Source organism: Homo sapiens, chromosome 15 (assembly GCF_000001405.40).
Source record: "Homo sapiens chromosome 15, GRCh38.p14 Primary Assembly".
Classification (NCBI taxonomy): domain Eukaryota; kingdom Metazoa; phylum Chordata; class Mammalia; order Primates; family Hominidae; genus Homo; species Homo sapiens.
In genome coordinates this window covers 35,239,051-35,265,208 of record NC_000015.10, presented here as the reverse complement: position 1 = coordinate 35,265,208, position 26,158 = coordinate 35,239,051, and the positions used below count along the sequence as shown (strand labels likewise).

The window sequence follows — 26,158 nt, the reverse complement described above, 5'->3', positions numbered from 1 at the left end:
TTTAATTCTTATTATATTCTAGATTTGATTTGAAGTTATTTTACTATGTTTATAGTAAAACCACAGTACTGTTATTTTGTGTTTTCTGACCGCTAGCTTGTGTGGTTATTTTTCTAGATGGATTATTTTTCACTGTATGGACTATAGACAGCATGGCCCAATCTAGAATGACATAACTGTTTCTCTCAGTAATAATTATGAACATCGGAGTGTAATGTACTTTCAGTCAGTTCCTTCTGAATGTTCGACAAGACTCTCCAAACCCTGCTTTTCATGTTATGCTCATAATCTGCCTATGGAGGCCAAATGTCTCATCAGTAAAGTCTTCCTTGACCCCCAAAAGAGTTAGGCACTCTACCTTTCTTCTCTCAGAACATCTTGCACACAATATTGACATTGGGAATTCAATTATAGTTCTATGTCATATTTATCTCTGTATTCTCAGTACCTAGCTCAGTAAATGTTTGTTGAATGAATGAATGAATGAATGTACAAATGAACATGCGTGGTATGCTTTGTTGTGCCAAACTGGTACTTTATTTAAAGGCCATTCCACCTGACTGCTGCTGGGCTCCCACCCACTGAATCTCAAATTCACCAACATGATTGGGAGATACAAGAGCTACTTAAGGAATTTCCTTACTAACTTCAATTAAAATTAAAAATAGTAAGCCTTTTGTTTTTCAAAGAGTGCTTGTAGACCAGTATTTTCAGAAGAGAGGTCTAAGAATCAGAGAAAGTCCATTACGCTTTATGCAGGGCTATGGGATAATATAGAAGAGATATTAAAGTGTTGGGTAAATCAGCGTAGAGACTATAAATGCTGTTCTGAGAAAAGCTTTGAAAATAATGAAGAGGAAGAGTAGCATTGCCTCTTGTTATTACCTCAAGTAGAAAAAAGAAAAATTTAGGTGAAATAAATGTCAGATGGAATCTAATTCCTAATAAGCAGATAGTACTAAAGAAAACAAATAAAACTTTATTATTTGTTTTAATAAAGCATCCAAGATAGATTGTGCTCCTTCCTCCTTGCTCTAGAGTGGAGGCAACTAAGAAGTACTTTTTAAAATACTTGTGTCCTTTTTTTTTAATCTTTGAATTAAAAAAAAAAACAAGGCTTAAATCCATATGAGTGAATTTTCTGTGTGAAAAGTCAGCATGGACTAGAAAAAAGGCCCTTTAAAAATTATAAACTATGTTGGGCGCGGTGGCTCACGCCTGTAATCCTAGCACTTTGTGAGGCCGAGGTGGGCAGATCACGAGGTCAGGAGATCGAGACCATCCTGGCTAACACGGTGAAACCCCGTCTCTACTAAAAATACAAAAAAAATTAGCCAGGCGTGGTGGTGGGCGCCTGTAGTCCCAGCTACTCAGGAGGCTGAGGCAGGAGAATGGCATGAACCCGGGAGGCTGAGCTTGGAGTGAGCAGAGATCGCTCCACTGCACTCCAGCCTGAGTGACAGAGCGAGACTCTGTCTCAAAAAAAAAAGAAATTATAAACTGTGAGGCCAGGCAAAATGGCTCATGTCTGTAATCCCAACAATTTGGGAGGCCTAGGTCGGAGGATCACTTGAGCCCAGTTTGAGATCATCTTTGGCAATATAGTGAGACTGTCTCTACAAAAAATAAAAATAAAAAGTTAGACAAGTGACGTGGTGGATGCCTGTAGCCCCAGCTGCTTGGGAGGCTGAGGCAGGAGGATCGCTTGAGTCCAGGGCTAGACTGCAGTGAGCTATGATCATGCCACTGCACTCTAGCCTAGGCGAGAGAGTGAGACCCTGTCTCTAAAAAAAAAAAAAAAAAAAAAAAAGATTAATTATGTTAAAATGTTTTCTTGTTATATTCCATGTAAAGTATTTTTTGGCATTATCCTTCTTATGAGTTCAGAGGAACTATGGAAGAATCTTCTAGAGTTAATTTAATACCTGTTTATTTCTCCATATAAAGTCTCACTGGAGGGTTGTGAAGATTAATGAGATGTTTATAAAATGTCTGAGACCTCTGGAAGAAAGGTGATATGTAAATAGAGTATTAGTAGTAGTAGCTCTATGATAAACTAATGATTAAAATATCTTCCTTAGTTATCAGAAGTAATAAGTTAAAATCCATTGAGAGGTTTCTCTTCATTAGAAACTTTTCACGTATTTTTTTCTTCATGGTGTCAAATAGAGATCTTACTTTCAGCATGTAATTATCCACATCAAATTATAATTCCTTCAGACTTAAATATTTTATAGGCATATTCATTATTTGAGTTTAATTTTCTAATTATTTGTAAGGGCAAAATTCTGCATGATTCTCTCACTTTAGTTTTCTACTTTAAGACATGTAAGCATGAGAGTAATGTAGCAGCTGACTCCTAGAAGGTACTTTGGTAAAGATCTCTCCCAGAGTCTGGCAAGAAATAAAGAGATGTTCATAAAATTGGGAACTAAAGAAAATCTTACCTAAATGGCTATTCATTAAGATATCTTTTTTTTTTTTTTTTTTTTTTTTTTTTTTTGAGACGGAGTCTTGCTCTGTTTCGCAGGCTGGAGTGCAGTGGCACCATCTCTGCTCACTGCAAGCTCCGCCTCCCGGGTTCACGCCATTCTCCTGCCTCAGCCTCTCCAGTAGCTGGGACTACAGGCGCCCGCCACCACGCCCAGCTAATTTTTTGTATTTTTAGTAGAGACGGGGTTTCACCGTGTTAGCCAGGATGGTCTTCATCTCCTGACCTGGTGATCCCCCTGCCTCGGCCTCCCAAAGTGCTGGGATTACAGGCGTGAGCCACTGCACCCAGCCAAGGTATCTTTTTAAAAAAAATCACTTAGAAAACATTTTTTAAAGACTTATGGCAAATTAGTAAATATGAATTAAATGTATTCTGAGTCATTATTAGAATTAATTAGAAATTTTTATGAAGTGTGTTTATCTTATTTTTTAAGCTCATTGGAGATTTCCTGAAAAATTGTGATACCACTTTTTAAATGGGAAATCTGGAAGGGCTCTAGAGGCCACCATGTAATAAATTTAATTTAAATCCTTAATGAAATAGGAAAAAAAGTATAACTATATATAAAGTAATAGACTCATAGAATCTTGAATTATGAGTAGTCTTTCTAACACATTCATTGGTTGTATTGCACAGAACTCCCGAAGTAGTAAACACGGAGAAAAGTACAAGGACCATACACAGTAGTTGTCATGAGGACCCTTTTTTGTATGTCTCCACCCCTGTCACCTTTGAAATATAGATGCTATATATGTAGTAGTTACTTCTCTTTACTACTGTAGCTTCAGGTGAAACTATTTTAATCTATGTTTTGGACCACTCTAACTTAAAATTTCCATTCTTTTTTGTAATTCATAGGAAGAGTTTCATTTTTTTTTTTTTAAGAGAGGGTCTTGCTCTGTTGCCCAGGCTGGAGTGCAGTGGTGAGATCAGGGCTTACTGAAGCCTCGACCTCCTGGGCTCAAGCCATCCTTCCACCTTCGCCTCTCAAGTAGCTGAGACTACAAGCATACGCCACCACACCCAAATAACTTTTTAATTTTTGGTAGAGATGAGGTCCCACTATATTGCCCAGGCTGGTCTCAAACTCCTGAGCTCAAGCGATCTTCCCGCCTCTGCCTCCCAAAGTGTTGGGATTACAGGCACGAGCCACATGTGCAGCCTTTTTTTTTAAACTAACTTTATAGATTTACATTCCTACTCCATCATGAGACATCAACATTGGTTAACCTAAGCACTTCTACCATATATGTAAAGTTTATGCCAAATAATTTTGAGAAGTCAAGAGTTAAATTCAACCTGAACTAAAAAACACAGAAAAAAGATCTTCAAGAGAAGGAAGAAGGAAGTAACAATAACAAAAACAAAAACCCTTAATGCTAACAAAGCTGGGTAATACTGGACTTCAGATCAGCTGAACGTTTCCAGTTCTGCATGACAGCAAAGAGAATGGTGTGATTATGGCACCGTGCTCAGAGGCACGCTGTATTGCTGTACTGCATCAGGAAGGATAAACTGTCTATAAAAAGCTGGTGAAACTGCATAAGGAATGTGTTTGGGGCATCTCATTAAAGAACGAAGTTAATCATCTGGGAAAGAAATGGGGCAAGAAGGACTGAGGTATGCAGAAATAAATTCCAACAGGAACTGATATAATAGATTGTGGGTTTTGACTTCCGGGAATTTCCTTATGTAAATCAATAGTCAAGACATGAATAACTATAAGAATGGGTAGGTGTTAAAATGTGATGAAGAATACATAAAATAAATGGAAAGACTTAGAGTTCTTCAAGAAAAATTAATGAATATCACTAAGTGACAATTTTTCCAGAATCCTAGACAGATCATATTGATGTCCTTAGGCCCAGTACATCTGGAAACAAAGAAAAGGATACTTTGAAGGAATTGAGAGGCTTTCTGAAATGGATTGCCTGAGGTCAGAGGCTAAAACATAAGACCAGAAGATAACACAATTGTAAAGGAACTTTCCCCTTGAGATAGGGAAGGAGGTAAAAAAAAGAAGTAGGTAAAATAAATGAAAATTTGTATCTGAATTTTAATAGTGCTGAAATGAGGTGGAATCACTGCATAGAATCACTTCATTTATCCTAAATTTACAGGAAAAACATTTTTTTATAAATGAAGTCTTCAGATTACTTAAGTTTAATATTATCTAATAATATTAAACTTCATATTACTTAATTTATTATTAAATAATAAATTATTTAATTTAACATTATTTAAATATTTTAAATAAAATTCTTCTAAAGTATATTTCACTTTATCCTGAATTTTAAAAAGAATCTCCTGGCTGGGCGCGGTGGCTCACGCCTGTAATCCGAACACTTTGGGAGGCCGAGGTGGGTGGATCACGAGGTCAGGAGTTCAAGACCAGCCTGGCCAACATGGTGAAACCCTGTCTCTACTAAAAATACAAAAATTAGCTGGGCGTGATGGCAGGTGCCTGTAATCCCAGCTACTCGGGAGCCTGAGGCAGAGAATTGCTTGAACCCAGGAGGCGGAGGTTGCAATGAGCTGAGATTGTGCCACTGCATTCCAGCCTGGGCGACAGAGCAAGACTCTGTCTCAAAAAATAAAATAAAATAAAAGAATCTCCTGAAGATTTTATTTGTTCTTAAAGATGCATGGTGGCATGAACATTGATTATTTACTCTAAAATAGTAATTATCCCAAAGATTATTGGGGTTAATTGGACTATTTTTTCCAGCTTGGATTTCTGAGCATTTGCACTTGCTTTATGTAGGTCTTATGTCTCCTCCCTGGCTACCATTTGACTTGCTTTCACTTCTTGGTATCATTTATGAGCTGAGTCTAGTGACTCCCTCTCTGCTTCTTTCCAATTTGTCGTGTTCAACATATTACGGGCAGAAAATCCAGACAAGAAGCTTTGTGTGACCATAACTAAAGTAAAATAAGTTTTCAGGAAAGCAACTGAGAAACTGAGATTGTATGAGCTCAAGCATGCAGTTCTTTTAGGACTTATATTGGCTGCTCAGTAGCTTTATTTTGGAGAGGAAGGTGGGGAGGAGCTTACTTCCAGGTCCTTGACTGCATTCTGTGTAGTAAACATTGTGACATCACATATTTCTATATCTCAGTTAACTTGTTTGAAATTTTCAGTGTCGTCACTATTTCAAATATAAAAACGAAATGTAGAACATGTTCTAGAGCTAATGCTGTGAAGCTGTGCTTTATAATTGAAATCTTATTATCTATTTTATATTACTTGCAATAAATACTGTTAGTAATTACAGGAATGCATACTTTTTTATATGATTAGGTTTGCGTGAAAGCAGCTGCTCCCAGGAGGAAGTATAGTGTACATGCATAGTCATACTTGTAGCAAAATCTCCACTTTGAATAATTCATAATTAAGCCATTTCTTCTCTTCTTTAAGTTACCCCACAAGGTTTCAAGAAAAGTGTGGTAAGGAGTATTGGCTTATGCTTGCCTTTCCAGATATATGATTAGAACACCCCTTACAGAATTCGAGAAGGGAAAGCAAGGAAGGGATGATCACCTAGTAGGAATCTTTTTTTTTTTTTTTTTGAGACGGAGTCTTGCTGTGTCCCCCAGGCTGGAGTGTAGTGGTGCGATCTCGGCCCACTGCAACCTCCACCTCCTGGGTTCAAGCGATTCTCTGCCTCAGCCTCCCCAGTAGCGGGATTACAGGTGCACACCACCACGCACAGCTAATTTTTGTATTTTAAGTAGAGATGCAGTTTCACCATGTTGGCCAGGCTGGTCTTGAACTCCTGGCCTCATGATCTGCCCATCTTGGCCGCCCAAAGTGCTGGGGTTACAGGTGTGAGCCACCGTGCCCGGCCCATAGTAGGAATCTTAAGGAGAAGATGCATATGGAGTTCTAGGGGCAGTAAAGTAAATATATAAGGGAGGGAGAAAGGATTGAGGAAATGAAAGAAAGCATGTTTCCAACTAGTGAAAACAATGGAGTCCTTAGGAAACTTTATAAAGGATAAATGTTCAAGTATTGGCCCAAAAAAAGTGAGCATGTTTCAAAGAAAATAGAGTTTCTATTTTGATAAAGGTTTATTGCTACCTTAACTCATCCCTAAGCTTGCTGAGACAGCTTATAGAACAAAGGACATTAAGCTCTAAGCCTAGCTCTGTTACTAAAGAGCTTTCTAACCTGTAGCTAGTATTTAACCCAGACTTTAGTTCCCTCACTTATGAAATATTTAGATGAGATTATTTCTAATATCCTTTCCAACTCTAAAATTGTATGATTTTCTGAGGAGCAAATTTTAAAGCATTGGTTTAGAATTTGTAAGCCAACTAATGTCACAGTGAAAGTGTCCTCCTTTAATGTCTTACATTACTTTTGACTATCCTAGAGGCTTGCATGTTCATTTTTTCTCTTCCAAGAGAAACTGTCCCATCCTTCTCCTTTTAGTGAAAACAGTTCTAGGCTATTCCTTGTGCTGTAATATGACCCCAATCCTACCTCTCACACCATTAGTGGTCTTTTGCCCGAGTAAGGCAAAAAGACAATCTTTTCATTAATAATTCAATGGCTTTATCAAGTGTCTTGGCACAAATTAAAAACAAGAATAACACCTTGCCCAAAAATATAAGGGTTGGTCCAGTATTGGGCTGCTATGGTAAAAAGAATGGATAGAAGATATCATAAAATAAGAAGGACCATGATGTTCTACAGGAAAGCTAAAGTCTGTGAGAAACCAGACTCAAACAGGTTGAGAAGTTCTATGGAATGGTGGATTAAGTAGCCGCTTGATAACGTTCCCTTTATTGCTTACATTTATGTTCTAAGGATAATACTATTCAAATTGTTTAAGAGTACCACCACTCAATCAAGGTAAAGTTTTCCTGCTAATTACTTACTATGCATTGTAATGATAAAAGAAGTAAGAAAATGCACACACACACACACACACACACAAAGCTGAGACCAAGAAAATAATACTGTTTTGAGTGCTAGCATGGAATTCTTGAACAACTGCTGCTGAGTTTCTTTTAATTGCCTTCAATCCAGAATAAGACTGTAGTTCCAGTACTCATGAGGCATTTCTAAGATTTTATCTCCTACAGTGCACTTTGTACCTCCACAAAAAATCCCCATTTCTCGAATCTGAGTTACATGTAACCCTTCAAGTCTACTTAAGAGGTTGTTATACTTTCCAAGTCACTACCACCTCTACCAAATCCCTCAACAACATATTATTATTTTTTATTTTTATACTTTTTGATTAGCATTGCTGTCACTCCAATCAACAACCTTTTGAAGAAGTGCGGATCTCTCATTCATGAGTATGGAAACTCAGAGAATGTAAGTGACTTCCTTTTGTCTCTAACCTGTGTTCAAGCCTATAGGTAAGCAACTGCCAGATGTGGTATTTCTCTAACTAGACTTTTTACCCTCCCTGAGAACACTCCAGCCCCATAAATTTTTCCCAGAGATGTTACATGTTCCTAAGAAGTGACTTACATAAACACAAAAAACTAGTACCCTTACCTATTTATTATTTTTCTCCTCCTTTCCTGGTATGCTATGCTAATGTCATCTTTTCATGGTGATGCCTGCCCATGTCACTACTGACACTTATAATGCCCAGTATTGATGGCACTATATTTTATGCTAATGATGCCATTCTTTTCCCCAGTCACCAGCACTCCCCTGTCACTATCAAATCACCCCCATTCTTATCAGTCCTCAAATAGCTGTCATCAATGCATCTAATGTTTACCAACAGACTCTTTTTAGTCTTCTTTATGTTCTCTTTGCATATTTCTTGCACTAAAATTCAGAAATGATAAAGTCAAAACCATTACAAACCCCAGTATTCCTCCTACACACACACTTACACACATACCAGATATGCTTGCTCATTGACCCCGAACTAAACTAGTAAACATCTCTCTTTCCCTTTAGGTCAGGATGTATGTTCTTCCATTTCCACCTCCTGGCTCTTGACCTCATCTCTTGTAAATGGATCCCTCGTGGACCCACCCTACAGTCCTGCAGACATGCCCAGACATGGCTAAATCCCAGAGTGAACACAGATCTTGACATCTACTACACTACTAATTAGCAATGAAGTACTTTCCATTATATACACACAGCCTCTTTTGCAGATTGTTGCTGATGATTTACATAACTTGCCCTTTATTTCTAAAAAGAAAAAAAATTATATTTTAGTACATTGAATACATTGAGAACATTCAAAGATAAAAATATATCACTTATGTGGATGGCACTTTGTGGTCTTCCTTCCAAAAATCCATAACTGTGGTTTAACCATGAGAAAAACATTAGAAAACCCAAATCAAAGAACAATCTAGAAAAGTATCTGACTAGTACTACAAAACTGTCAAGGTCATCAAAACCAGGAAACTCAGAAACAGTCACCGTCAAAGGAGCCTAAGGAGATATGACTATAAATAATATGGTAACTGGCCAGGATCGTGCAACAGAAAAAGAGCATTAAGTAAAAATGAAGGAAATCTGAATTAAATATGTGCTTTAGATAATAATAAAATTTGTAAATATTGCCTTATTAGTTATGACAAGTATACCATGGTAATATAAGATGTTAACAATTAGAGAAACTGGATTCAGGTTATACAGGAACTTTGTACTATCCTTGCAAATTTTCTGTAAATCTGTAAGTTTATTAAAGATTTATATATGTTATATAGGTGTGTATATATATTCAAACAAATATGTATATTATATACTGTATATTTATTTATAAGTCAATTTTATATATGCATAAATCATGTATATGTGTGCACATATGATGTGTGTGTTATTCACCATTATGGAGTATATATCACTGCTTAGTTGGACAAAGATGAAAATAAAACTAATCCTAATGGATAGAATGAATAATCTTCTAAGGATCATATTCATTATTTAGGAGTAACTGCTCCCCTCCAACTAATAAACTCATTTTGTTATTTAACAGTGTGCAGTCATTTGCAAAGTCAAAAAAAATTTCAAGACGACCTTTACTAAAGGCTCTATGAGTAAACTGGTGCATCCAAAATTGTGGCAACACGTTAGAATATTCCAGAATTAATCCACAAAGTTTGAGCAACTTCTAGTGGCTGGAGGGGTGATACCTAGCTAATGATCAAAGAAAAACATCTGAAACTAAAGTAACATTTATCTCAGGGGGGAAACAGCTTTTTGAAGAAAAAAAAACCCTCTGTGTTCATTCTTGAAGAAGTCATAGAACTATTTGAAAGGAATATCTCCATGCTGATAACTATTGAATTTTAGACCATTTATCATGAGACTTTGGTTAGAAATAGTCTTCAGCCCTCATTTATCTTCTCTTTTACTCTATTGATTCTCAAACCAATGGATGGTTGAAGATTTTAAAGTCTAATTTCAGAACAGCAGGTCTATTTGAGGGGATTTAAGAAGGCTCCAGTGCAGGATTACTTTATAACCTTCTTTTCATTATGTTAATGATTATTTGCTAAATATGTCGTCATAATGGTTCTTCGGCTGTCACCTGAGGAAGTGTGATACTGCCTTGTTTCATAGTTCTCCGTTTTCAAAAACCCCAAGTAAGGCAAGCTCACTTTTTTACCTTTTACCAAGTGTCAGGCCTCTGAGCCCAGGCCATCGCATCCCCTGTGGCTTGCACGTATACATCCAGATGGCCTAAAGTAACTGAAGATCCACAAAAGAAGTAAAAACAGCCTTAACTGATGACATTCCACCATTGTGATTTGTTCCTGCCCCACCCTAACTGATCAATGTACTTTGTAGTCTCCCCCACCCTTAAGAAGGTTCTTTGTAATTCTCCCCACCCTTGAGAATGTACTTTGTGAGATCCACCCCTGCCCACCAGAGAACAACCCCCTTTGACTGTAATTTTCCATTACCTTCCCAAATCCTATAAAACGGCCCCACCCCTATCTCCCTTCGCTGACTCTCTTTTCGGACTCAGCCCACCTGCACCCAGGTGAAATAAACAGCTTTATTGCTCACACGAAGCCTGTTTGGTGGTCTCTTCACACGGACGCGCATGAAACCAAGCACTACCTTTTTTACCTCATATTTTCTGGACCAGTGATGCTTCCAAAGTGCAACTGTAAACCACAGCTGCAAATTGAGTTGCAAACACATTTTGCTTAAGGTACAAACCACAAATTAAAGTAATGATCACTTCAAGATGAAACTTTTTTTTGTATTTTAAAACCAGAATGAAAGTAGGTCAATGAAATTTCAGATATTTTAGAGTATGTACAGTATTGTATTGTTTGCCAGTACCTAATTTACAATTACAGAGCTCCATGAATATTGAAATGATTCAGCTTCCCATTATAAATGTATGTGGCAGTTTGGTTGTTGATCAGTTTATGAAGTTAATGCAAATGGAACTGTCTTCCTGTCAGCATTTGAAATCTATAATGCAGTCATGTTGTATATTCAGGGACAGGCCATTGACAGTCAATTAACAAGTTTGATTGGTATGTCAACTCATTCTTTTGAATTGTTAATAGTATGTTAATAGCATTCGTTTCTTTGTGCAGTCCCATTTGCAGCTTCACAGTTACAGCTATTTTTTATAATTCTGAGTAACCTAAAATAGTGCCTTAATAATAGATTATTAAACACCTGTCTAGTGTAGCTTAGGGAGGTTTTTCTAGACTGGGAGTTTGCAGTGGATCCCTTTGATATTCAAATCAACAAATGATAGCCTTTTTATTCAAAACGTAAATTCTTTTGATGGTTAGCTTGTTAAGAAATATTCAGCTCTAGTCTGACCTGATCTGGTTTCCCATGGAAAAGATCTGATGCCGTTTGAAGGTTCATAAATGGAATGCCAATGACAATTTGTTGTTGACGTTCTGCCGCCTCAGCCCTCAGATGCTGCTGGTTGATGTGCCGCTTTAGCTTCACCAAATAATCCTTGCAGGTAAATGATCTATGGATTGATCAGATAGTTTCAAAGCAAAGAGGGCTTTTCTGTGGTCTGGATTTTTAGGCTTGAAGGGGTACTTAAAAAGATGCGTCAAAATTGACAGATGAATCTTAAGGCATAGAGTGATGGGAGAAAGCAGAAATGTGGGAATATTTTTAAGTGACTAGCGTATTACTTAGAGTTTTGAAACCATCAAATGTCGATCAAATCTGTTCCCCATAGCAGAATTATTTCTACCTTGGTTTTTGTTATGGTTGTTTTGTCTGTATGCACAGGTTTACTCTCACTTTTCTGGGGAAGTTGATGAGACATTAAATGTATTATTCCCGAATGGTGCTTTGGAATAAGGTTGTGAGTTCATTTGCACAGGCATGTTTTATTCATATAGTTCCTGTGCACCAGAATATAAGAATCTGCCATTGCTTTAGCCGAAAAAAATGGTCTATACCAAGGAAGCAGTAAAAATTTTATTCCTTCCCTGCATTCTTCACTTCACTTGATGATGCTTTCCACAACCTACTGTTTATATTTAATTTCATTGGCAGAAGTTTCTTTATAATAATGGGGAAAAAATCTCACCAATGTAGTTTAGATATTTAATTAATATTTTTCTGTTCTATGCTTCAATGAATCTGGAAGAGCAATTTGCATGTTTTTGAATTTTAAAATTAGATGGTACTTCAGAGATTAACATTCAGATGCCTTCAATATGCAGATAAAGAAACTGAGGCAAATAGTGAGACGTCAGAGATAGTTGGTGCAGACCCAAGTCTATTTATTACTAACCCTGTTCACATCCTGCTTGCTGTCCTTAAAAACACATAGAAGCTCATTTGAAGGTTGATACAACTCTAATGTATATTTCTCAACTGGATAAAGAAAGTTGCTGAAGTTTTCTAACTATAACATCAAAACCTTTATATTACAGTTTAAGAACTATACTTAATACCAGTAAAAAATTATAGAGTATGTATTTTTAATGTGTAACCAAAATATCTATAAATCAGGAGGAGAGACAAGAGAAAGAAAATTAACTACTGTCTTAGACAGTTTATTTGTTCGCTGTCTGCCCTTAGGCAAGACCATAGACCTTATGACCTATTTCCGGATGGGGAGAGGAGAGGAAAAGAAGGAGGCACACAAGCATTAATTGATAACAGGTTTTACTGTGTCACGTTATATAACCCTCCAGCAGTGCTTCTCAAGGTATGTTTCACAGATCACTAGTCCCACAAGATGCTTGGCCACCAAAATCCTCTGTAGCTAGAGAATCAGGGCAAATGTGCCCTTAATGGCAGTTCACATTGTCACAATGCTTGTTTAATGACTCTGAGAAAGTCCTGCAGTAATGAAACTTGTTTAGCTCTGCTCAACCCAGGATTTCCAAAACTAATTTGAACACAAAATCTTTGTTTCTTTCTTTTTTTGTTTATAGGCTTGTTTCTCTTAAAACCAGCTACTATCTTTCATGGAAATTTAGGGGATTTCTCTGTGCTTCAATTTTTTCATCTATAAGTGGGTGTAATAATAGTACCTATTGACATGAGGCTTAAACAGGCTGATATAGGTAAAGCACTTAAATCATGTCTATCATATTGTATTACGGAAGTATTTGCTATTGTTATTATTGGTTGATTGATTGATTGATTTTGAGATGGACTCTGGCTCTTGTTGCCCAGGCTGGAGTGCAATGGCGTGAGCTTGGCTCACTGCAACCTCTACCTCCTGCCTTAGCCTCTCCAGTAGCTGGGATTACAGGCCCCCCACTACCACGCCTAGCTAATTTTTATATTTTTAGTAGAGATGGGGTTTCACCATGTTGGCCAGGCTGGTCTTGAACCCCTGACCTCAGGTGATAAACCTGCCACAGCCTCCCAAAGTACTGGGATTACAGGCATGAGCCACCACACCGACCTGTTATTATTTATGCATAGTAACATGGTTAGTGTTGTTATCATTGAATGAGCGAGGCCAGTGCTGTTGTTTCATTCACTTTGCGTTTACTGAATGTACAGTGTGGTAAACTGTACGCAAGGCATTAGGTTAGAGTTTGAGATTTTATGAGTCAATACAACAGGACATAAGAGGGGAAGCAGACATGTCAGCTAATAAGTTACAAAGCAAAGTGGTGAGAGACTAGCGTATCTGTGATATGAAGCTAAGTGTAGGATCTTGGATGTGGCAAGGGGATGTGGTACACAGGTGTGGTGGATTGGAGCCAAAGTGTGAAGGACCTTATGTCCAAGCTCTGAAGTTTGAGTTTTATCCTGTAGACCACAAAGCGAGCAGAGAATTGTTGTGCATGAGAATGACATGATCAGCCCTGTTTTTTAGGAAAAAAGCTTGACAGCTGGGGTTGGAGAAATGAGAGAAAAGGAAGCAGGAAAACAGTGGGATTATGAACTGAGGCAGTGGCATTGGGAATGGAGCGGGCATATATTAAGAGACATTTCTGATGTAGAATTGATGAGAATCCATAGCCAGTTAGTTGCAGGAGGGGTAACAGAAAATATACTCGTGTAACAAACCTGCACTTGTATCCCCTGAATCTAAAATAAAAATTGAAATTACTTAAAAATTTTAAGAAAGAAAGAAAGAAAAATGGAGAAACCAAGGACAGGACTGGCATGTCAAGTTTGGGAGATTGTATAAACAGTATTCAACTTAGTTTTATAAATAGAGACACTGCATTTTTCAAAAAGAAACTGATCCATGTGTCTACAGCCTGCCAGCAGTTTTATAACAATGACCTTCTTCTCAAGGGAGACTAATTGAACATATGTGTAGATTGCTTGGCACGACTTATGAAAACTATTGGTAACACAAATCAAAAGTGACTAACTCAGTAAGTAACTTATTGGAAGTATATGGGAATATACATTTAAAAAATAAATGTAAATGCCATATACAGTGTTAGAATGATAGTGAAAATTTGCTTCCTTTCTGCCTACTCACAAAGCTTTATACGTGGCTCTGCTAAAGCACTTCTAATATTCTTATTATATTTATTATTTTATATGTCTTCCTTCTCCTTTTCTCCTTTCCCATTTTGAACTTTTTAGTCCTAGATCTTGTTTGTCTTCATATTTTCAGATCCACCCAGAATGGATGCATAGTAGGTACTTAATTAATGGTTTGGGTATATAATACTTGAAAAAAACATTTCTCTGATTTTATTCTGATAATAGAAATTCAAAATATTCAGCAATATTAGTTATAAAATATCATGTAAGAACCTTTTGCATGTTTCCTTTATCTTCAAAATCTTGAGCTGTATTGGCCTGCAACATATATTTGAACTGCCATGTTACATGAATATTAATGGAAAAATAAACCCAAACTCTTGGTTTGATGTTTATTAAATGCCAGTTTCTCTGACTTATACAGTGCCACACGTTGTGGCAGGGACATTTTAAATCATCTTTTAAATATCAGCCTCTCTTCTCTGTTGTGGGACTCCTTATTGTCATGGCCTTCTCTTTGAAGACACAGGAAGCTCTAGTCACCTGGAAATGTTAAGCCATTAGGGTATATCTTATATAATTTTATTTTTTTTATTTTTTTGTTTTTTGTTTTTTGTTTTTTTGGTTTTTTTGAGACAGAATCTCGCTGTGTCACCCAGGCTGGAGTGCAGTGGCGCGATCTCGGCTCACTGCAAGCTCTGCCTCCCGGGTTCACTCCATTCTCCTGCCTCAGCCTCCTGAGTAGCTGAGACTACAGGTGCCCACCACCCTGTAGCCCACCACGCCCGGCTAATTTTTTTTTATATTTTTAGTAGAGATGGTGTTTCGCCGTGTTAGCCAGGATGGTTTCGATCTCCTGACCTCGTGATCCGCCTGCCTCGGCCTCCCAAAGTGCTGGGATTACAGGCGTGAGCCACCGCGCCCGGCCGTATTTTATATAATTTTATCAGAAGTTGGTTAACTGTTCTTCCTGCTACTTTATGCTGTGCTTATAAGTATTTTAATTTACCTTTATGTTCTGCCAGTTTTCCATTCTCTAACATATCACACAAACTTAAGTAATAACAAAAAAGACATTATCAGCTTCAAATTCAGAACTAATATGCTATTTTTAAAGTTCTTCGACTCCAAAATTGGAGTGGCATATTATTTTCTACTATCTACTCTGTTTAAGCAATACCCAGATTATAAATCTCACCTGCAGAGAGACATCCTTGTCTCTCAATATAAAGACTGTGGAAGGTCTTAAAAGTTGTAATAATCATTCATTCCACCATAAAGAATTCGACATAGAATAATATATTCATGCCTGTGTTACCCCCAGGAACATAGATTTATACCATCTATCTCCTTAAATATCTGTAATATTTCTTTTTATTTTTAGAAAAGGACTTTATGCTTTGAAAAGAAAATGTAACCATATTCTCTGCATCCCAAACTTGTTTTTATTTAAATATGTAGCTTTTTCAATCTAAATATTTTTGTCTAATCTCAAGCCTTTCCTGTTTTTCTGGTATATGACAGGATTTCTTCAGGTGTTAGAGAAATTTTATCTACAGGAATAGAGGAGGTTCACAAGAGGATGCTTTCTCCAGGGCCATGTCAGGAACTTTCATCCCTGAAAGTATGTAGCCATCTTGTTGTTCAGTAAAGGGAATGCTTTCCTAATGTGTCCAGCCGCTATATTAACATTTGTCTTTGTATGGACTACTTTTTCTTCAGGTAATTATAAAACATTCCGAAGGTCTGGAAATCTGTAATATAATTCTGCGGTTTCCTCTAGTCCTGCAATCTCTCCATGTTTATTCATTGTTATGCTGATACTTTAAACATATTTTTATTAGAGATGTTATTATAGCAAGCAAGAAAAACTGTAATGCATGAAACTTTAATTATTACTTGCCCTTTAATTATATAACCATTACTGGGAATGATTTCCATAGCTCCTCTAGATTGGGTAAAATTCTAATCTCATTGGCATATATTATTTATTTTATAAAACTCTTACCATTTAAATATGTCAGATTGTTTGTCAAGTTTGTTATAGTGTGGGGACAGAGAGATGGTGATACCTGTCCTCTCCGTCATAAAGGTCATGGCTGACACCCCTACAATAAAGACAGACTGACAAAAGCATAACATTTATTTAATCAAAGTTTTACATGACATGGGAGCCTTCAGATTGAGTGACCCATAGATAGAGGGAAAGCAGTCTGATTTTATGCATGGGTGCTTTAGATCTGATGAAGCAAGAAGAGCGTGTAGAGATGTGATTGGACAAAAATGGTACGATCTAATAGTAATAGACTGAGGTTGTGGAGAATGGGACCCAGCAAGGCCTGTGTGTTCAGATTCTTCTTGTCCTCTCTGAGCATGCATTCCTTCTGAGTATGGGGCAGGACCCACACTGGAATGGAGATCTTATAACCTACAATCAAACAAAGTGGTCAAATAATTGCTTTACGGCCAGTTCTTAGAAAGGTGGGGGAAAGTTAGAGTAGTAATTTTAGGTTTATGGATGGCTTTGAGAAAAGGGGTTCTGGTTTCCATGACCCAGCTTGGAGAAAAGGGATTCTAGTTTCCATGGCTTGCCTCAGGGGAGAATGAGAGGTAAGAGACAGGAGGGCAAGAGAAGGACAGAAACCACTTCTTAGGCTGCTTCTGAGGCTTTCACTTTAGAGTGTCATTTTCTGAGCCTCAACAAAAGCGTATACTTTTAGTTAGTTACACATGGACTTCCAATTTTTTTAGTACATAAAGATTGCATCACTTACAAACTGACATTGTTAATGCCCTTTGCACTATTTACCATTGATTTTATACTGTTATCCACACATTTCCCCCTTTTAAATCAGTAAAATTTAATTGTTAGACAGTTAATCAGGGTTCCAGGCTTGGCTCTGTAATATATGACAGCAGAAGCAAAATGGTGTATTTAGCAACAAAACCTAGTTGCTTTGACCTTTTACCTGATTTTTCTTTCTTATTTTGACGGTGCATAGTTTTTAATTTATTATCACTATTTTTAAAATCAGCACAATGAAACTAGTTGAAAGAACCAAAAACAGTATTTCAAGGGGGCAAAGAGATACAATAAAGATTTATAAATTGTATGCATGTTACTTTATCTTTGAGTATAGGGGTAACTGCAAACTAAAGAAATAGTAAAACATCTCCATTGAAGTGTTTCCCCTCCTTCTCCCAACTGAAAGCAGGTCTTCTCTAGTCTTGAAGTTCCTATTAATTACCTGGGGCTAAAGACATTCACTTTCAGTAAGTAAAGAAATCTAGATTTATCTTGTGACTTGGTTGAGGTTACTTGGTAGCAAGAAAGTGAGTTCCAGTAATGAAAGCTGGCAGGCCAGGATTTGTGCTCCACTCTGTTGGCATATGAAATTACAGCACATCATTCAAACAAAATCAATAATCCAACTTTTATGTCCTTTGCTAGGTACAGTGAAATTTTATTATCCTGTGATCATTTTATTCTTCCTGGATTATGTCATGTGCTGTGGCAGTAAGAGAAGCAGCTCAAGTAGATAGAGTATATAAGATCAAAACTTGTGTTTTTACCAATGTGCCATAATGATCATATGATATTCAAAGAAAGATGCTATAAAAGTCAGACTCTTATTTCTTTAAATCATCACTGTAATATCCTGAATGATATTAGGAGGTTCAATTTACCTTGAGAAAGAATTTTGCTCCTTGGTGTGGAATGAGCTTTATCAGCTGTGGTATTCCTTAATTGAGGCAAATGGAATCAGCAAGAGATAGTTTGTTTTAACATAAAAATTGCTCTACATGAACAAGGAGAGAAAAACTACATGATCATATTCTCGCTCCTTTTCTATGGAACTAGAGTACTTTTGTAGAAAAGATGAATTGTTCTTACGGAAGATCTACACAGCCATAAAATCTAGGTAATAAATTACTTTAAAGCATCAGCTCCTAAAGTATGTTTCCATAGTAAAGTATGGACCAGGCCAAAATCCAGGCTTAAACATTTTCTCCTTGTTATCACCTCGTTAAGCTTCCCACGTCTGAGCCATGCCTCCTACAGTCACAGGTATGGTGCCACTAATTAAGAAGAAGGGGCTCATTACCAATTCTCATTAACATCAATTGGAGTTTTAAAGCCAAATCCCTGGACTGAAAATTTACCCCCTTAATGTTCAACACAGGTGAACGAATAAAATCATTTAAATGCCTGTATCATGGGGTAGTGCAAATGTGCTCTCCAAGGATGAACAAATTGCTTACTGCAGTCTGGCGCTAATCCCATTGCTCACTAAAAGGCAGGCAGAGCTTTGAAGAAAAATACTATTTGAAGGGAGACACTAATGGGGAAAGGAAATGGGGAGATGGGGACTAACTAAATATCCAAATTATCATTTGGATGTGTCATCCTCCGTAAGAATATGTGGAAAAACAAAATTAACAAAAGATTGTTTGAAGCAGTGTCTGACAATTAAGTGCTCAACAAGTATTATTTGAATGAATGAATGAAGAAATAACTGTTCACCAGTTTAACTTGCCAATGAAACTTACTTTCACGTGCGTCCCTGTGAAGAGCCCACCAAACACGCTTTGTGTGAGCAGTAAAGCTTTTTAATCACCTGGGTGCAGGTGGGCTGAGTCCGAAAAGAGAGTCAGCAAAGGGAGATAGGGGTGGGGCCGTTTTATAGGATTTGGGTAGGTAAAGGAAAATTACAGTCAAAGGGGTTGTTCTCTGGCTGGCAGGGGCAGGGGTCACAAGGTGCTCAGTGGGGGAGCTTCTGAGCCAGGAGAAGGAATTTCACAAGGTAATGTCATCAGTTAAGGCAGGAACCGGCCATTTTCACTTCTTTTGTCATTCTTCAGTTACTTCAGGCCATCTGGATGTATACGTGCAGGCTTGGGCCCAGAGGCCTGACACTTACCTGTCAGACTCAACATTTGCTTGAGAACATCCTGTATTATATTCCTTAAGCCTTCTTCTCTAATTTTCATGTCCTATAGGTAACACTGTAAATTATTTTGTTGTGGGATGCTCTTGAGTTAAGAGATTTTCAAATGCTTAATTTTGTGAAAAGTTAAAATGTGTTGATTTGTTTGATTTGAGAGAGCTGTTCTGCAGTTCATTGAAGTGATACGTCAGAGGGAAATAAGTCTTCTTGGAAAATGAAATCAACCTTCCCTTGTCTTAGATAATGCTTTCCCTCTTTTGTAAACCCTGAAGCTAACCAATATAAACTAAATTTCTACTTTTTCTCGCAATTTAAACAATGACCCGCCAGCGTGGTGGCTCACGCCTGTAATCCCAGCACTTTGGGAGGCCGAGGCAGGTGGATCACAAGGTCAGGAGATCGAGACCATCCTGGCTAACACAGTGAAACCCCATCTCTACTAAAAATACAAAAAATTATCCGGGCATGGTGGCGGGCGCCTGTAGTCCCAGCTACTGGGGAGGCTGAGGCAGGAGAATGGCGTGAACCCGGGAGGCGGAGCTTGCAGTGAGCCGAGATGGCACCACTGCACTCCAGCCTGGGCGAGAGTGCAAGACTCCATCTCAAAAAAAAAAAAAAAAAAAAAAAAGCAAGAACAATGACCCAGAAATATTTATAAATGTTTGCCCCTAAACTACATACGTATTAGAGAATTGTTTCTGATTTCATAGAATCATGAATGATTGATAGATTCTTGTATAAATTGTTCATTTTTTTTTCCTGAGTGGGCATGTGGTTCATATTTAAATCACACTAACAATATGTAGCATGAATAGCCTCCCCCTAAAAGTGTAATGACTTTCGTCTACATTTTTCATGAGTGTCAGATTCTTTCGTGATGTTTCTACCTATCAGTGGTAGTTACATGATCATAAAACATTGTAGCTGGAAGGAGCCTTCAAAGCCATCTAGTTAAATCCCCACATTTTACAAATAAGAAAATCAAATTCCAAAAAGTTTAATTGACTTACCAAGCTCGTAGGCTCATAGGCCCTTACCTAGAATTTTGTCTCCTTATCCCCAGTTCAGCCCTGGTATTATTAATAATGTGTAACTCAGCACAGCTCTCTCTAGCTTCACTCACCCATCCTAAGTTTTCTTCTTTCACAATCCAAAGTTGTTTTAAAATTGTAATTAATCAGAGTAAAAGAAACTCTTGAAAAAATACTCTTCTGGATATATGGGATAATCACTGCTTTTACTTAAGATAGGCTTGCCTTACCACCTTATAAGCATTAACTTTTCATCTTTTCACCTGCTTAAAAATTGAAAGACAGTGATAATGGATGCATAAATGCATCATGGGATGAATAAATTGTGTGTTAGAAAAGAGAAAATGAATGTGTTCGTGAAAGAGCGAGCACATCAATCAGTGGTTGCATGGTGTTTGCACCAGAGTGTCCAGGGGACACCACACCAATCAATCATTCAGGAAGCTCCCTCCAGTTTTCAGAAGGAGAAAAAGATTTTATACTAACGTGCTATAGAGAAAGCCTAGCATTTAAAGAGGTCATTCAAGGAACTCTTCCAGTTCCCAGAGGGGAGGAAAAAGTGGAAAGGGGGCAAAATGCCATAGTAAGAACTAGTTTGGAATTTAAAAAATTCTGATTATGTTATGAATTATTCTCATTTTAGATTGACTCAAAGGCATTAATTAAATATCTTTTGGTACATCCCACCCTTACCTGAGCATAAAAAATTGACATTTGTATATAGCTTCTGCCTTCAAGGAGCTTAAAAACTAAAAATGTTTATTCTTCAGAGCTTTTATTACTATACTGAATTAAAATCCAATACTGCCATTTTCCTTGAGCATTAAACATACAAATATTTACTGAAAATATTTGCTTTATGAATCATCCATCCAGTGATTATTGGTCATTTGCAAGATACTACATTAGCTGCTGCCTTGAAGTAGCTTATACACTGGTAAGGCAAATAAAATTTGTGTATAAATAATTATAATGCAAAATAGAAAGGAATTTTTCATGCGCGTCCGTGGGAAGAGACCACCAAACAGGCTTTGTGTGAGCAACATGGCTGTTTATTTCACCTGGGTGCAGGCGGGCTGAGTCCGAAAAGAGAGTCAGCAAAGGGAGATAAGGGTGGGGCCGTTTTATAGGATTTGGGAAGGTAATGGAAAATTACAGTCAAAGAGGGTTGTTCTCTGGTGGGCAGGGGCAGGGGTCACAAGGTGCTCAGTAGGGGAGCTTCTGAGCCAGGAGAAGGAAATTCACAGGGTTAATCACTCAGTTAAAGTGGGGCAGGAACACATCACAATGGTGGAATGTCATCAGTTAAGGCGGGGCAGGACCTTTTCACTTCTTTTGTGATTCTTCAGTTACTTCAGGCCATCTGGGCATATACGTGCAAGTCACAGGGGATGCAATGGCTTGGCTTGGGCTCAGAGGCCTGACATTCCTGCCTTCTTATATTAATAAGAAAAATAAAACAAAATAGTGTTGAAGTGTTGGGGCGGCGAAAATTTTTGGGGGGTGGTATGGAGAGAGAATGGGCGATGTTTCTCAGGGCTGCTTCAAGCGGTATTAGGGGCGGCGTGGGAACCTAGAGTGGGAGAGATTAAGCTGAAGGGAGATCTTGTGGTAAGGGGTGATATTGTGGGGATGTTAGAAGAAACATTTGTCATGTAGAATTATTGGTGATGGCCTGGATACGGTTTTGTATGAATTGAAAAACTAAATGGAATAAGAGAAGGAGAAAAACAGGTATAAAAGGACTAAGAATTGGGAGGACCTAGGACATCTAATTAGAGAGTGCCTACGGAGGTTCAGCATAGTCCTGCCAGCAAAGATTATTTATTTACTTCAAGAGTTAAGAGTGGCAGTTTGAGGATAGCACGAGGAGATATCAGCTGTGACGGCTTGGAAAAACAGTGTAAACCGGCAGTGTAAACAAGAGCAGGGCATGTATGAGTAGTTGAGAACGGTGAATAGGAGTATGACTAGACAGAAGATAGTAGGGATGACAAGTTATTTGGGGGCACAGTCGAAGTTGGTCTGGTGTCTGGAATGAGACTGGGGCCTAATAAAAAGGAGCGTCTATACAGGAGCTCAAATGGGCTGTACCTTGTAGCATTCTGAGGACAGGTCTGACTACTGAGAAGGGAAAGTGGTAAAAGTATTGTCCAGTCCTTTTTAAGTTGGTGGCTGAGCTTGGTGAGGTGTGTTTTTAATAGACCATTAGTCTGTCACTGAATACTAAGAGCCTGAAAAAATGCTTGGCTGATTTGACTAATAAAAGCTGGTCTGTTATCAGACTGTATAGAGGTGGGAAGGCTAAACTGAGGAATTATGTCTGACAGAAGGGAAGAACTGACTGCCGTGGCCTTCTCAGACCTTGTAGGAAAGGCCTCTAAAAGTATTAAAGCAGCGGCAGCCGCTGCAGGCAGACATGAGGGCTAGGCTAAAACAGTAAGGTCAAGTTGTTTGGACAGAAAGGCTATAGGGTGCGGTCCTGGCTCTTGTGTAAGAATTCTGACCGCACTAACCATGCCTAGGAAGGAAAGGAGTTGTTGTTTTGTAAGGGATTGAGGTTTGGGAGATCAGCTGGACACGATCAGCAGGGAGAGCACGTGTGTTTTTACGAGAATTATGCCAAGATAGGTAACAGATGAGGATGAAATTTGGGCTTGACTGAAGTAATGGGGGCTGTCTGTGAAGCTTTGCGGCGGTACAGCCCAGGTAATTTGCTGAGCCTGATGGGTGTCAGGGTCAGTCCAAGTGAAAGCGAAGAGAGGCTGGGATGACGGGTGCAAAGGAATAGTAAAGAAAGCACGTTTGAGATCCAGAACAGAATAATGGATTGTGGAGGGAGGTATTGAGGATAGGAGAGTATATGGGTTTGGCACCATGGGGTGGATAGGCAAAACAATTTGGTTGATAAGGCATAGATCCTGGACTAACTTGTAAGGCTTGTCTGGTTTTAAGACAGGTAAAATGGGGGAATTGTAAGGAGAATTTATAGGCTTTAAAAGGCCATGCTGTAGCAGGCGAGTGATAACAGGCTTTAATCTTTTCAAAGCATGCTGTGGGATGAGATATTGGCATTCAGAGGGGTAAGGGTGATTAGGTTTTAATGAGATGGTAAGGGGTGCATGATCGGTCGACAAGGAGGGAGTAGAGGTATCTTATACTTGTGGGTTAAGGTGGGGGAATACAAGAGGAGGACGCAAAGGAGGCTTTGGATTGGGAAGAAGGGCAGCAATGAGATGTGGCTATAATCCAGGAATAGTCAGGGAAGCAGATAATTTGGTTAAAATATCTCGGCCTAATAAGGGAACTGGGCAGGTGGAGATAACTAAAAAAGAGTGCATAAAAGAGTGTTGTCTAAGTTGGCACCAGAGTTGGGAAGTTTTAAGAGGTTTAGAAGCCTGGCTGTCAATACCCACAACAGTTATGGAGGCAAGGGAAACAGGCCTTGAAAAGAAGGTAATGTGGAGTGGGTAGCCTCCGTATTGATTAAGAACGGGACGGACTTAACCTTCCACTGTGAGAGTTACCCAAAGCTCGGCGTCCGTGATGGTCTAGGGGGCTTCCGAGGCGATCGGGCAGTGTCAGTCTTCAGCTGCTAAGCCGAGAAGATCTGGGAAGGAGTCAGTCAGAGAGCCTTGGGCCAGAGTTCCAGGGGCTCTGGGAGTGGCTGCCAGGTGAGTTGGACAGTGCGATTTCCAGTGGGGTCCCGCACAGATGGGACACGGCTTAGGAGGAATCCTGGGCTGCGGGCATTCCTTGGCCTGGTGGTCAGATTTCCGGCACGTGTAGCAAGCTCCTGTGGGAGGAGGTTCTGGAGGAACACCTGGCCGCTGCGGTTCAGGCGTTTGGAAGTTCTTGTGTGCTGGAGATGTGGCTGGGGTTTGTCTCACAGTGGAGGCAAGGAATTGCAACTTTTTTCTATTATTGTACACCTTGAAGGCGAGGTTAATTAAATCCTGTTGTGGGGTTTGAGGGCCGGAATTTAATTTTTGGAGTTTTATTTAATGTCGGGAGCAGATTGGGTAATAAAATGTATATTGAGAATAAGACGGCCTTTTGACCTTTTAGGGTCTAGGGCTGTAAAGCGTCTCAGGGCTGCTGCCGAACGAGCCATGAACTGGGCTGGGTTTTTATATTTGATGAAGAAGAGCCTAAACGCTAACTGATTTGGGATAAAGAAAAATGAGCATTAACCCTGACTATGCCTTTGGCTCCAGCCACCTTTTTAAGAGTAAATTGCTGGGCAGGTGGGGGAGGGCTAGTCACAGAATGAAACTGTAAGCCAGACCAGGTGTGAGGAGGGGAGGCGATAAAAAGATTACAGGGTGGAGGAGCGGAGGCTGAGGAAGAATTGGGACCTAGCTTGGGCTGGCAAGGAGGGGAGAGATCAGATGGGTCTGTAGAAAAGGAAGATTAGAAAGACTCAGTGATGCTTGGGGTTGGGACTGAGGGGACAGGAGGGAGGGAAAGAAGGAAGATTTGGGACGAGTTGCACTGGGCACAGAGACTAGGAAGGGACTGATGTGTAAAAGAATGCCTGGACGTCAGGCACCTCAGACCATTTGCCCATTTTAGGACAAGAATTATTTAGATCTTGTAGGATGGAAAAATTGAAAGTGCCGTTTTCTGGCTATTTGGAACTACTGTTGAGTTTGTATTGGGGTCAAGCGGCATTGCAGAAGAAAATAAGGCATTTAGGTTTTAGGTCAGGTGTGAGTTGAAGAGGTTTTAAGTTTTTGAGAACACAGGCTAAGGGAGAAGAAGGAGGAATGGAAGGTGGAAGCTTACCCATAGTGAAGGAGGCAAGCCCAGAGAAAAGAGTAGAGACACGGAGAAGGGGTGGGGGGTTCTTGCCCTCCAGAAAAGCAGAGAAGGGGTTAGGGCACGGAAATAAGGGATTGGGGCACAGAGATAAGAGGTTAGGGCGCGGAAATAAGGGATTGGGGCACAGAGATAAGAGGTCAGGGTGCAGAAATAAGGGATTGGGGCACAGAGATAAGAGGTTGGGGTGTGGAAATAAGCGATTGGGGGGTTCTTGCCCCCTAGGAAAGCGGGACTTGCTGCTAAGGGTGAAGGAGAAGGGGTTGAGGGGTACTTGCCCCTGCCCCAGGAAAGCAGGACTTGCCACTAAGGGTGAAGGAGAAGGGGTTGAGGGGTACTTGCCCCTGCCCCAGGAAAGCGGGACTTGCCGCTAAGGTTGAAGGAGAAGGGGTTGAGGGGTACTTGCCCCCGCCCCAGGAAAGGCAGAGAAGGGGTAGAGACAAGGAGAGAAGGGGTTGGGGTACTTGCTCCTTCCCCAGAAAAGCGGGACTTGCCGCTAAGGGTGAAGGACCAAGGCAGGCGTCCCTGCATGGTCTGACACCCTTGAAACGTGGGTGTATAATCAGAGAGGCATCCCTGCAATGATTAAACACCAAGGGAAGGCTGCCTTCCCAGTCCGTGACCGGCGCCGGAGTTTGGGGTCCACAGATAAAACGTGTCTCTTTTGTCTCTACCAGAAAATGAAAGGAATTGAAATTAAGAGAAGGGAGTGATTGAAGTGTAGCGCCAAGATTGAAAGGAGAAAGAGGTTGAGGGATAGTGAGGGAAGTTGGAGAAGAGAGTAAAAAGAGGCCGCTTACCGGATTTGAAATTGGTGAGATGTTTCTTGGGCTGGTAGGTCTGAGGACCTGAGGTCGTAGGTGGATCTTTCTCACGGAGCAAAGAGCAGGAGGACGGGGGATTGATCTCCCAAGGGAGGTCCCCCGATCCATGTCACAGCACCAAATTTCATGCACGT

At 39.3% G+C, this 26,158-nt stretch overlaps 1 protein-coding gene across 5 annotated transcripts in view, besides 6 other annotated features; it reads left to right on the top strand.

Annotated features, from left to right (window-relative positions):
* DPH6 (diphthamine biosynthesis 6) overlaps positions 1–26,158 on the top strand; it is a 401,189-nt gene that overhangs the window by 280,957 nt on the left and 94,074 nt on the right. The window contains exons 10-11 of one of the 5 annotated variants that reach the window (XR_007064493.1): positions 7,748–7,823; positions 8,427–9,383. The exons of 3 other annotated variants lie outside the window; for them this stretch is intronic. The gene's annotated coding sequence lies outside the window, so the exon portion shown is untranslated. Of the gene's footprint in view, positions 1–7,747; positions 9,384–26,158 lie in introns of those variants that run through there. One more of the 5 variants, XM_047433264.1, reaches the window with a different exon arrangement.
* Positions 1,048–1,547: an enhancer, noted in NCBI's record as "H3K27ac hESC enhancer chr15:35555863-35556362 (GRCh37/hg19 assembly coordinates)". NCBI's record gives its function as "activates a minimal SCP1, AML or CMV promoter by ChIP-STARR-seq in primed H9 embryonic stem cells {active_cell/tissue: H9 hESC(primed)}" and the evidence as "EXISTENCE:reporter gene assay evidence [ECO:0000049][PMID:30033119]".
* Positions 7,877–9,076: an enhancer, noted in NCBI's record as "MED14-independent group 3 enhancer chr15:35548334-35549533 (GRCh37/hg19 assembly coordinates)". NCBI's record gives its function as "activates an origin of replication core promoter dependent on BRD2, BRD4, P300/CBP and CDK7 cofactors, and independent of MED14, by STARR-seq in HCT116 cells {active_cell/tissue: HCT116}" and the evidence as "EXISTENCE:reporter gene assay evidence [ECO:0000049][PMID:35650434]".
* Positions 10,420–10,939: an enhancer, noted in NCBI's record as "NANOG-H3K27ac hESC enhancer chr15:35546471-35546990 (GRCh37/hg19 assembly coordinates)". NCBI's record gives its function as "activates a minimal SCP1, AML or CMV promoter by ChIP-STARR-seq in primed H9 embryonic stem cells {active_cell/tissue: H9 hESC(primed)}" and the evidence as "EXISTENCE:reporter gene assay evidence [ECO:0000049][PMID:30033119]".
* Positions 10,940–11,458: an enhancer, noted in NCBI's record as "NANOG-H3K27ac hESC enhancer chr15:35545952-35546470 (GRCh37/hg19 assembly coordinates)". NCBI's record gives its function as "activates a minimal SCP1, AML or CMV promoter by ChIP-STARR-seq in primed H9 embryonic stem cells {active_cell/tissue: H9 hESC(primed)}" and the evidence as "EXISTENCE:reporter gene assay evidence [ECO:0000049][PMID:30033119]".
* Positions 12,668–13,167: an enhancer, noted in NCBI's record as "H3K27ac hESC enhancer chr15:35544243-35544742 (GRCh37/hg19 assembly coordinates)". NCBI's record gives its function as "activates a minimal SCP1, AML or CMV promoter by ChIP-STARR-seq in naive H9 embryonic stem cells {active_cell/tissue: H9 hESC(naive)}" and the evidence as "EXISTENCE:reporter gene assay evidence [ECO:0000049][PMID:30033119]".
* Positions 19,741–20,294: an enhancer, noted in NCBI's record as "H3K4me1 hESC enhancer chr15:35537116-35537669 (GRCh37/hg19 assembly coordinates)". NCBI's record gives its function as "activates a minimal SCP1, AML or CMV promoter by ChIP-STARR-seq in naive H9 embryonic stem cells {active_cell/tissue: H9 hESC(naive)}" and the evidence as "EXISTENCE:reporter gene assay evidence [ECO:0000049][PMID:30033119]".